The sequence below is a fragment of the Homo sapiens genome, chromosome 2 (assembly GCF_000001405.40).
Source record: "Homo sapiens chromosome 2, GRCh38.p14 Primary Assembly".
Taxonomy (NCBI): Eukaryota; Metazoa; Chordata; class Mammalia; order Primates; family Hominidae; genus Homo; species Homo sapiens.
In genome coordinates this window covers 117,792,728-117,805,663 of record NC_000002.12, presented here as the reverse complement: position 1 = coordinate 117,805,663, position 12,936 = coordinate 117,792,728, and the positions used below count along the sequence as shown (strand labels likewise).

Genomic DNA, 12,936 nt, shown 5'->3' with positions numbered 1-12,936 from the left:
CCTTTCCATGTTTAGCACTTCCTTCAGGAGCTCTTTTAGGGCAGGCCTGGTGGTGACAAAATCTCTCAGCATTTGCTTGTCTGTAAAGGATTTTATTTCTCCTTCACTTATGAAGCTTAGTTTGGCTGGATATGATATTCTGGGTTGAAAATTCTTTTCTTTAAGAATGTCGAATATTGGCCCCCACTCTCTTCTGGCTTTCAGGGTTTCTGCCAAGAGATCTGCTGTTAGTCTGATGGGCTTCCCTTTGAGGGTAACCCGACCTTTCTCTCTGGCTGCCCTTAACATTTTTTCCTTCATTTCAACTTTGGTGAATCTGACAATTATGTGTCTTGGAGTTGCTCTTCTCGAGGAGTATCTTTGTGGCGTTCTCTGTATTTCCTGAATCTGAACGTTGGCCTGCCTTGCTAGATTGGGGAAGTTCTCCTGGATAATATCCTGCAGAGTGTTTTCCAACTTGGTTCCATTCTCCCCATCACTTTCAGGTACACCAATCAGACGTAGATTTGGTCTTTTCTCATGGTCCCATATTTCTTGGAGGCTTTGCTCATTTCTTTTTATTCTTTTTTCTCTAAACTTCCCTTCTCGCTTCATTTCATTCATTTCATCTTCCATCGCTGATACCCTTTCTTCCAGTTGATCGCATCAGCTCCTGAGGCTTCTGCATTCTTCATGTAGTTCTCGAGCCTTGGTTTTCAGCTCCATCAGCTCCTTTAAGCACTTCTCTGTATTGGTTATTCTAGTTATACATTCTTCTAAATTTTTTTCAAAGTTTTCAACTTCTTTGCCTTTGGTTTGAATGTCCTCCCGTAGCTCAGAGTAATTTGATCGTCTGAAGCCTTCTTCTCTCAACTCATCAAAGTCATTCTCCATCCAGCTTTGTTCCATTGCTGGTGAGGAACTGCGTTCCTTTGGAGGAGGAGAGGCGCTCTGCTTTTTAGAGTTTCCAGTTTTTCTGTTCTGTTTTTTCCCCATCTTTGTGGTTTTATCTACTTTTGGTCTTTGATGATGGTGTTGTACAGATGGGTTTTTGGTGTGGATGTCCTTTGTGTTAGTTTTCCTTCTAACAGAGAGGACCCTCAGCTGCAGGTCTGTTGGAGTACCCTGCTGTGTGAGGTGTCAGTGTGCCCCTGCTGGGGGTTGCCTCCCAGTTAGGCTGCTCGGGGGTCAGGGGTCAGGGACCCACTTGAGGAGGCAGTCTGCCCGTTCTCAGATCTCCAGCTGCGTGCTGGGAGAACCACTGCTCTCTTCAAAGCTGTCAGACAGGGACATTTAAGTCTGCAGAGGTTACTGCTGTCTTTTTGTTTGTCTGTGCCCTGCCCCCAGAGGTGGAGCCTACAGAGGCAGGCAGGCCTCCTTGAGCTGTGGTGGGCTCCACCCAGTTGGAGCTTCCCGGCTGCTTTGTTTACCTAATCAAGCCTGGGCAATGGCGGGCGCCCCTCCCCCAGCCTCGCTGCCGCCTTGCAGTTTAATCTCAGACTGCTGTGCTAGCAATCAGCGAGACTCCGTGGGTGTAGGACCGTCGGAGCCAGGTGCGGGATATAAGGTCGTGCTGCGCCGTTTTTTTAAGCCCGTCGGAAAAGCGCAGCATTCGGGTGGGAGTGACCCAATTTTCCAGGTGCCATCCGTCACCCCTTTCTTTGACTCAGAAAGGGAACTCCCTGACCCCTTGCGCTTCCCAAGTGAGGCAATGCTCGCCCTGCTTCGGCTCGCGCACGGTGCGCGCACCCACTGACCTGCGCCCACTCTCTGGCACTCCCTAGTGAGATGAACCCGGTACCTCAGATGGAGATGCAGAAATCAGATGGAAATGCAGAAATGCAGAAATGAGCGTCTTCTGCGTCGCTCACGCTGGGAGCTGTAGACCGGAGCTGTTCCTATTCCTGTTTCCTGACTTTTTAATAATCACCATTCTGACTGGCATGAGATGGTATCTCAATGTGGATTTAATTTGCATTTCTCTAATGATCAGTGATGTTGAGCTTTTTCTCATATTTGTTTGTTGGCTGCGTAAATGTCGTCTTTTGAGAAGTGTCTGCTCATATCCTTTACCCACTTTTGGATGGGGTTGTTTGTTTTATTCTTGTAAGTTTGTTTAATTTCCTTGTAAATTCTGGATATTAGGCCTTTGTCAGATGGGTAGATTGCAAAGGTTTCCTCCCATTCTGTAGGTTGCCTGTTCACTCTGATAATAGTTTCTTTTGCTGTGCAGAAGCTCTTTAATTTAATTAGGTACCATTTGTCAATTTTGGCTTTTGTTGCAATTGCTTTTGGCATTTTTGTCATGAAGTCTTTACTCATGCCTATGTCCTGAATGGTATTGCCTAGGTTTTCTTCTAGGGTTTTTATGGTTTTGGGTTTTACATTTAAATCTTTAATCCATCTTGAGTTATTTTTTTGTATATGCAGAAAACTGAAACTGGACCTCTTCCTTACACTTAATTTCCTTTTTCTGTCTCAGGATCTAATCCAGGTTACCATATTGTATGTAGAAAATTTTCTGAAATGTGACTTTTGCCATTTCCTAAACAATTTGTATTTGGGAATAAATGAGGGGTGTGACTACCAGCCAGAAGCTAACTTCCACCCCATAGTCCTTACCACATTTTTTTTTAACTCTTTCTTCACTTTACCTAGTAGAACCTATGGTCTCCCTCCTCCATGCCAACCCCTTACCCTCTTGAAGTAGTGTTGGTATTTTTACATGATCATCCTTTCATAATAATTTTTACAATCATCCCACCAACTTATTTCCTTAAACATTTTTGAAAACGGACCACTTTTGGAGAATGAGTTTAGGGAAGCACCTACTAGATCCCAACCCTCTACCTAGCTATTTTACTCCAACAAAATGAATGAGAATTCTGATTCCCCAGCAACTGCTTTCATGAAATCTATCAAACTACCTTCCTGTGTTATAACGTCTCAGCTAATTTTACCTACTTGAGGACAGGAATGTTATTTCATTTATCTTTAGAGACCACTCACACTTAGAACTTTCCATTCATTCATATTTTCAAACCATTATTGACTATCAACGATAATATGCTGGGAAATTGTCTAGGTGCTAGGGATAGAGAGAAATTAACCAAAGCGCTCATCTTCAAAATGCTCATGCTTTGATAAGAGTCAAAGACATGTTTAGTCACATTTAGACTTCTAATGCCCCACATATTTCCTAGCATTTAGTGGGCACTCAATAAATGTTTGGCATCCTGTTTTAAGAAGATGCTTTCTGGTAGCAGTGGAGAGCATGGAGGTGAGATGATCAATCAGGTGACTGTTACAACAGTTCAGCAGGGATGTTATGAAGCTCACAGGGTCAGAACAGAGTGAGTTTAAGTATATTTTCTGAGAAAGAATGAACATAACTGGGTGACCAATTGGATATGGGAGTAAAGTGAGAGGAGGAAGTAAAGAATGCTTCTGAATTTTCCAGCTTGGGATGTGTTATATAGAATACAGGAAGAGGAAACAAGTTTGGAGAATGCTGGTAGAAAGGAGGAAGGGAAAGGAGAAAATGGGAAAGATAATTAATTTGGTATGGGACATTTAGTTTGAAAAGAATTCCATATAAAAGATGACCCACAAATACTTCTTGAATGAGTAAAGGAAGGAATGCATCACAACTTGAGTAACTGTGGATTGATGAGGAAGTTGAACTCACTGGGGCTAAATTTGTTCTGTAGATACAATTTTGAGTCTGTGATGGAAACTGCCCAACAGTGTTGGCAACTGGAGCAGGTAAAAAAGGGCCAAGAACAGGTGGCACATGAGCTGGATCCTAAGCCTGGATAGAATTTGGCTGGGGAATAAGACAAATAGAAGTTGTGCCTCCTGTCAACAAGGAGCAGACTCATTAGCAGTTTTTGAGGGGCACTGGTAAGTAACAGTCAAGATAAGGATATGTGGGAACACATCATGAGGTCTCTAACAAGAGGTGGCAGTGTGGGCATACTTTGATGATATATGGCGATATTAGATTAATGAGAAGGGAAGTGGGATGATCAAAGTTATGCTTTTGGAGGATCTATTTGTCAGCAGTGTTCAGGTGGGCTTGGATAATGGGGGAGCGTTGAGACCTGCTGGTGACTGGCTTGGTAATTCAGGAATGAATTGGAAAGAGTTCGAGTGCTTGTTTCATGCCCCTGTATGACCTCCATTTCTTGGCAATCCTCCTTTGTCTTTTCTGCTTCCACTTAGTTTTACCCACCTGTCACCTTCCAGACTCAGCTTCAATGCAGCCTCCCCTGGAAAGCTCCCATAACTCTTATGCCCTCCTGATGGCTGCCAATGTGTTGTATATGGTTTCTATGGATGCCCTTTTCACACTGGATGGTAATGTACTCTCTTGAGTATCTTTCTTTTCTAGTACACTGAGTTCCTTAAGGGTAGAGATAACTACCTGTGGGTTCCAGAACTGGGTTGAGCATATAGTAGACATTCAGTAAATTGATTCTGATTTATGTTGAATAAATTAATGACGGAAGAATGGAAAGAAAAGTGAATTAAGGATACATTTGGAGGACATAACTGATAATATTTACTGGATAATTTAAGGAAAGAACTGTCACCTATAGAATGCATATATTCATTGAGGGTGGAGTGGAAGTGGTGAGTTGTTTTGAAGGTAATAAAGTCAGTCAGGAACAGCATCATGTATATGCAATATATATAAATATGTAAAAATACATATATATATATTTTATATATAATATTTCTCATGTACATTATACAACATAAATCTATAATAGAGTATATCATAATATATAAGTATATACAATTATATACAATGTTATATACAAATATGTAAACATTTAGTTTAGAAACTATAACCATATGAATATAGCATGTTACAGTTTTCAAACAAAATACTTAGATTCCAAGAAAAAAATAAAATGGGGCGGTTAAGCACTCAAGGTTTGGAATAAGAGAGATATAGGCTTGAATTTCAGCTCTGTCATTTACTGGCTATGTGACTTTAGGCAAATATTTACCTTTTTTTGGCTTCAATTTCTTTATCTACTCAAGGATATAGTAATAATTATCCCACAGAGTTGTACGAGGATTCAGTGAGGTCGTATGTTAAGCACATTGTAGCTTGATGCTTAGCTTTTATTAAATGACGATAGTCCCTATTATTCATGCACACATAATAGAATTAATCGGGAGTTATTCAGGAATAGGAACAGCCAGTTAAAACCAACAACTATGAGAAAGCCTTTGAGCTGAAGATAGGAATTTCTGCCAGGGTCAGAAATTACGGACAAGGGAAACATCTCGTATACATTCATGTAATTACTTTTGAGTAAATTAAAGATAACTATAATTACCAAAGCATGAAGAATTTCTATGTTTTATACAGAAAATTTGTGTTGAAGTAATAACCACATTAATATGATTAATCTGGAATAATATACCCAAACCAGAGTTACCTTTCAGCATCCTAGGAAAAAGAATGTGTTAGCTATGAGTCTAGGGTTATGATTATTGAGATGAGGTTTTCTTAAAGCCCCATGCTGAAAACTGATGTTGGATATCCCTTTTCAGAAGATGAAAATGAAATGGTTATCAAAAACCAAAAGGAGTATCTCCATATACCTTAGCTGAACATGATATAGAACATATGAAATTAATGGGTAATTGGTTTGATTCTCCAGCCTATGACAGAGAATAGCCTGTTGCAATTCACCAAAAGTTTCCTGTTTGGGTTTATGCAAAGATAAGCAGAGACTAACTCCTCGTATTTGACAGAATGTCTGATTTATATTCTCAAAGAGGGGTATCGGGAGCCTGATCTGGGATAGGAAAGGCAGAAGTACTGTTGTTACAAGGATTCATGGATTGCTGGAGCTGGAAAGAGGGTTGGGGGTATCTAGTATATACCTTGCAAAGCAGAGGCTGGGGGGCTATAAAGGCCTTTCTTCTGGGATTGGAGCATGGAGAAGATAGAGCTGAGTACTCTCTGTCATGAACCTTAGGCCTGCTGATTAAAAGCAATTGATTATATATTCATATGTATTTCCTACACACTGAAAGGAGGCAGTGAAACAGGCATCATATACCTGGTTTTAGACAAAGAGAATAATTCCATTAAAACAAAAGGGCCCTGTACCCGAGTATCGTGAAGGGAGAATTAGGTTCAATATTAATGGGATCTCCACGTCTTGTCCTTTCAATACTGAGCCTGTGTTAACCTTCACTTTCAAGTTAAAATATCATTTTTAAATGCAAAATGAAACAATAACATATTTTCTTAAAATTATTTAATATAATAATCTGTTTGTCCTTCAAAAGTTATTTTTCAATCACTATCCACAAAAAATATGAACTGGGATATTCCACAAGAAATACTGGGCCGGGCACAGTGGCTCATGCCTGTAATCCCGGTACTTTGGGAGGCCGAGGTGGGCGGATCACAAGGTCAGGAGATCCAGACCATCCTGGCCAACACAGTGAAACCCCGTCTCTACTAAAAAATACAAAAAATTAGCCAGGCGTGGTGGCGGGCGCCTGTAATCCCGGCTACTCGGGGGCTGAGGCAGAAGAATTGCATGAACCTGGGAGGCACAGCTTGCAGTGAGCCGAGATCGCGCCACTGTACTCCAGCCTGGGCGACAGAGCGAAACTCCGTCTCAAAAGAAAAGAAAAGAAAACAAAACAAAACCCAAAAAAACCCCAAAAGAAATACTGATTCATGCCTGTAATCCAAGCACTTTCGGAGGCCGAGGGGGTGTGGATCACCTGAGGTCAGGAGTTCAAGACAAGCCTGACCAACATGATGAAACCCTGTCTCTACTAAAAATACAAAAAATTAGCTGGGCGGTAGTGGTGGATGCCTGAAATCCCAGCTACTCAGGAGGCTGAGGCAGGAGAATCACTTGAACCCAGGAGGCAGAGGTTGCAGTGAGCCGAGATTGCACCATTGCACTCCAGCTTGGGCAACAGAGCAAAACTCTGTCTCATATATATACTAAAAAAAAAAAAAAAAAAAAAGGAAATACTGATGATGGCTCAGTGGCAAGTCTGGCCCAGAATTCAGGCAGAAATCCAAATGTAAATCATTTTTTCCTTTGAAATTGTGATATTTATTGCTGCCCTCATGTCACATAGGCATTTGATTGAAGAAAAAATTGTTCATCTCTGTCCAGTACACAGTGGACATACTTATATCAGGTATTTATCAATGGTATTAGCCATTCATAATTAGCCATTGAGTTAGCCTCAAACTAGAATTATTTGCACTAGGATTTTATGAGTGTCACATATTTTGGACTGGGGTAGTTTAAGATACATCTCGAGATTACTTCTACATTAACTGATGATTTTTTTTTCACCTCATAAAACAGATCAGCTTGAAGCTGATGGGATTGAGGGACCTCACTCAAACCCTTTGGGGTGCAAACATTGTAGAGTATGGCTTTTTAACTCTTACCGTGTCCCGTCAGATCTCTAAACACACTACGCTGTGAGATACCTTAATTATATTTCAGTTTGGTTCTATCATTTCTGCTATCTTTAGTTATTAAAACGTCTGGCCTATTGTCTCACTCTCACATTCAATTCAAATGTCCGTTCCCCTTCCAGAGCAGGCTAGGTTCTCCAAAGATTTGAAGGTGAGGAATGATGCATTGCCTGCAAGCTTTCCTCTTCCTTTCTATTGCTTGTGCTTGTTCCTTGAGCATTGCAGTGAGAAGGGAGAGAAAAAAAGGCAGAAAGTCATTTCCTTTTTTGATTTTCCATGGAGAGTTGGTTCTACTTTCTTTGTTGGTTTGGGTGGCTTTCTTCTTATGCAAACAACCATATATTGGTGGTAGAGAGTTACTTTCCCTATTTTTTTAGCCACCATTCCTCATCTACCTCTTTGCCTGAAGACCTGGACAAGCAGAGTCCCCAGTGAATTCCAAAGACAAGCGGCTCAATTCTTTTTTTTTTTTTTTGTTATACTTTAAGTTCTAGGGTACATGTGCACCATGTGCAGGTTTGTTACATAGGTATACATGTGCCATGTTGGTTTGCTGCACCCATTAACTCATCATTTACATTAGGCATTTCTCCTAATGCTATCCCTCCCCCTGTTCCCCACCCCATGACAGGCCCCCGGGGTATGATGTTCCGCGCCCTGTGACCAAGTGTTCTCATTGTTCAATTCCCACCTATGAGTGAGAACATGCAGTGTTTGGTTTTCCATCCTTGCGATAGTTTGCTGAGAATGGTGGTTTCCAGCTTCATCCATGTCCCTACAAAGGATATGAACTCATCCTTTTTAGTGGCTGCATAGTATTCCATGGTGTATACATGCCACATTTTCTTAATCCAGTCTATCACTGATGGACATTTGGGTTGGTTCCAAGTTTTTGCTATTGTGAATAGTGCTGCAATAAACATACGTGTGCATGTGTCTTTATAGTAGCATGATTTATAATCCTTTGGGTATACACCCAGTAATGGGATGTCTGGGTCAAATGGTATTTCTAGTTCTAGATCCTTGAGGAATTGCCACACTGTCTTCTACAATGGTTGAACTAGTTTACACTCCTACCAACTGTGTAAAAGCATTCCTATTTCTCCACATCCTCTCCAGCATCTGTTGTTTCCTGACTGTTTAATGACCACCATTCTAACTGGTGTGAGATGGTATCTCATTGTGGTTTTGATTTGCATTTCTCTGATTACCAGTGATGATGAACATTTTTTCATGTGTCTTTTGGCTGCATAAATGTTTTCTTTTGAGAAGTGTCTGTTCATATCCTTCGCTCACTTTTTGGTGGGGTTGTTTAGTTTTTTCTTGTAAATTTGTTTGAGTTTTTTGTAGATTCTGGGTATTAGCCCTTTGTCAGATGGATAGATTGCAAAAATTTTCTCCCATTCTGTAGGTGGCCTGTTCACTCTGATGGTCACTTCTTTTGCTGTGCAGAAGCTCTTTAGTTTAATTAGATCCCATTTGTCAATTTTGGCTTTTGTTGCCATTGCTTTTGGTGTTTTAGTTATGAAGTCCTTGCTCATGCCTATGTCCTGAATGGTATTGCCTAGGTTTTCTTCTAGGGCCTTTATGGTTTTAGGTCTTATGTTTAAGTCTTTAATCCATCTTGAATTAGTTTTTGTATAAGGTGTAAGGAAGGGATTCAGTTTCAGCTTTCTACACATGGCTAGCCAGTTTTCTGAGCACCATTTATTAAATAGGGAATCCTTTCCCCATTTCTTGTTTTTGTCAGGTTTGTCAAAGATCAGATGTTTGTAGATGAGTGGTGTTATTTCTGAGGCCACTGTTCTGTTCCATTGATCTACATATCTGTTTTGGTACCAGTGCCATGCTGTTTTGGATTTCTGTAGGCTGGTGGTATAGTTTGAAGTCAGATAGCGTGATACCTCCAGCTTTGTTCTTTTGGCTTAGGATTATCTTGGCAATGCGGGCTCTTTTTTGGTTCCATATGAATTTTAAAGCAGTTTTTTCCAGTTCTGCGAAGAAAGTCATTGGTAGCTTGTTGGGGATGGCATTGAATCTGTAAATTACCTTGGGCAGTATGGCCATTTTCACGATATTGATTCTTCCTAACCATGAGCATGGAATGTTCTTCCATTTGTTTGTATCCTCTTTTATTTCATTGAGCAGTGGTTTGTAGTTCTCCTTGAAGAGGTCCTTCACATCCAACAAGGGGCTCAATTCTAAGAAATTTCCATAGGTATTGGTGGCTCTTATTGAGATTCACCTGCATCTTCTAATTGACCCCCACGTCCCCACATTTGCATTCTCAATGTGTCTTCCTGTCATGTACATGCCTCATTGTCCCATGCTGTAGAGGTTACCTGTGAGTCTATAGCATCAATATTATCTACACATTTTGGGCCCTCTAACCCCTGTAGTGGTTCATCTCCCTCTAGGTTCCTTAGATAAGGCATTGAAATGGAGCAAATGGTACTAAAAAGTGTACATCATTAGTTATTTTCTATTTTTGTTGTCTTCTCAGCTCAACCTAATATTAAAAAGTATTATATTTAGTGCTTCATTCCCATAGGCTTGTTTTTTGCAAATAGCTGTCTGTGAATTCGTATGCATAAGACTTCCTAGAGTAAGGATAAAGGTGGAGGCAAAGGAAGGCCTAAACTATGCATGTGGTGGTATTAGCTGACAGCATGTCCAGGTAACTGGCCATTATTGATTCCCTTTATCTTGGGTTAAACTCACTCACATAGTCACTTACCTCTGTGACTATGAAAGAAGAATGCCTCTTTATTCTTTTTTCCCTTTTCATTTGGTTTGCCTTACACCTGTGTGAAAGGAATAATTATACCTGCAAGACCTGGAGCCAGGCTATAAAAACTTGGGACAAGTTACTTAAATTTTCGTGCTTCATTTTCTTATCTATAAAATGGGGATGATGTTAGTAACTACCTCATTGGATCACTGAGAAAGTGAAATGAGTCAATATGTGTCATGTGCTTAGAACAATCCTAGTATACAGAAAATAGCTCAATAAACATTGGCAGGTATCATTAAGGTGTTTCTCTGGTTTGCTGTTTTGTGTTTGTAAAGAAAGCCTTAAGCAGGCTGAAAGTAGCTGGAGAGCTCGTCAAAGATGTGCTTTGTGGGTTCTGGGCTCGTGGTGCCACAGGGAACATATCTTATTATATTTGTTTTGTTTTTCTAGCATGCAGTATGGTGGCTGACACATGGTTGAGATTCAATAGAAAATGAATGAATGAATGAAAATGCTCTCAGTCCTGCTTAGATTCTTGGCTATAGGCATGCCTCCTTTCATACAGACATGTGAGTCACACAGTACAGCTCAGAAACCTTGGCTTGAAATTCTCCAAGGGGCGGGAGAAGAATAGAGCCTTTTGGAAGCACAGACTTTAAGCCATAAAGTACCAAGGACCCATTTTAGTAGATCACTTCTGTACAGATTTCACCATTAAGAAAACTTCACAGACTCTTGCAGTTGAGAAGTGACTCCCATGTTTTTCTACTTGAAGTAACATTAGCACTACTGATTTTTCAAGGCTAGCAAGTAGGGTCAACTGAATAATGAGCAGATTAATCAAGACTTCAGATGCTGCCTCTAGCTCATAACTTATAGACTGACAGGTTCATAATCTTTAAAATCATAATTTTCCCTAGGGTAGAGGACTTTTCTATGATAAGCTGTTCTGTTTTTTTTTTTAATATGAAGGTTCTCAAAAAAAGGATTACAATCTCTTTTCCATCAACAATGTGCACCTCAATTATTTATACCTATTCAGCTACCAAAAAGAAATGTTTTAAGGAATCATGGTAAGGGATTCTCTCCCTTTCTCTCTCTCAAATACACACAGAACTATGGACTAAACCTGCAGACCTAGCTCACCCTTTTCAGTACCTAAAGTAACTTATGGCCAAGAAGTCACCTAGAAATATGTAGTTTGCCATTAAGTCATTATGGCTCTGGGTTTAAAATTTCTAGTCCACAGTCTGCTCCTAAACAAAAGTCTGAGAAAATACATCCATCATCGCTCAAGTTCTGTACAGTATGTGCAGTCTTGAGAATTTGGATTTTTGTGACTAGAACAATATATTAAATCATATAATTTGTTTTTGCTTGTTTATTTGTTTGTTTTTTTTAGGCAGAGTCTCGCTCTGTTGCCAGGCTAGAGTGCAATGGCATGATCTCGGCTCAGTGCAACCTCTGTCTCCCGGGTTCAAGTGATTCTCCTGCCTCAGCCTCCCAAGTAGCTGGGATTACAGGCACCTGCCACCACGCCTGGCTAACGTTTGTATTTTTAGTAGAGATGGGGTTTCACGATGTTGGCCAGGCTCATCTCAAACTCCTGACCTCAGGTGATGCACCCGCCTCTGCCTCCCAAAGTGCTGGGGTTACAGGCGTGAGCCACCACGCCCAGCAAATCATATACTTTTAACAGGGCTCAGAATTGAATAAATACGTGATTTAAAAGTTCACGTGGCTCATAGTGCTTGATTAGAGATCTCCTTAGAAATGTAAATATTAAAAAGTTATCAAGAGGTCAGGTTCAATGGCTCATGCCTGTAATCTCAGCGTTTTAGGAGGCCGAGGTAGGCAGATCTCTTGAGTCCAGAATTCGAGACAAGTCTGGGCAACATGGCAAATCCCTGTCTCTACCAAAAAAAAAAAAAAAAAAAAAAAAAAAAAATTAGCCTGGTGTTGTGGTGAGCGACTGTAATCTCAGCTACTTGGGAGGCTGAGGCGGGAGGATTGCTTGAGCCCAGGATGTTGAGGCTGCAATGAGCTATGATCACACACTGCACTCCAACCTGGGTGACAGAGTGAGACCCTATCTCAAAAACAAAAAAAAAGTTATCAAGATAATACTTGTAAAAATAAAAATAAAAAGTACTGTGACATTTACAAGGGAAAAAATAAATCTCTCACTCCAGTCTTCATCACAGTGGAAACTTGCTTTAACTTTCTGCTCTTTCTTTTAAATTCTAAGTAAATATCATATTTCTAAGTAGTTCATTTATTGCTGTATCTTAAATATCTAGATTTTTTTGACTTTATATAATTATAGGACACTTTTCGTCCCTTTAATAAGTCTTCATCTTAATCCTTCTTGATAGAGTTATGTTACTATTTTTAATTATTAATTATTCATGCCCTCTTCATTGTATCCACGCAAATATTATCCTTACAGAGACATGTAGATTTTTGTCTTTCTCAGACACATTAATTGTCTTGCTTTTCATTTAAATAACTTATTATCTGCCTATTTTTAATTTTATAAGGATGTCTGTATCCTACTTCTTCAATCTCGTCTGTTTGCTCTTGGACCTGTTACCTAATGCCAACATTTTCAATAAGTTGGGGCATAATTATGTGGTTTGATAAATATCTCCTCCAATATAGTAAGAAGTGTGTTGAGGGGAGAGAGTTAGCTGTATTTCACTTATAATGAGGAAGATTATAAGGTCTTTCTCATTAT

At 40.1% G+C, this 12,936-nt stretch overlaps 1 annotated feature.

Annotated features, from left to right (window-relative positions):
* Nucleotides 1,020–1,603: an enhancer, noted in NCBI's record as "OCT4-NANOG-H3K27ac-H3K4me1 hESC enhancer chr2:118561637-118562220 (GRCh37/hg19 assembly coordinates)". NCBI's record gives its function as "activates a minimal SCP1, AML or CMV promoter by ChIP-STARR-seq in naive H9 embryonic stem cells {active_cell/tissue: H9 hESC(naive)}" and the evidence as "EXISTENCE:reporter gene assay evidence [ECO:0000049][PMID:30033119]".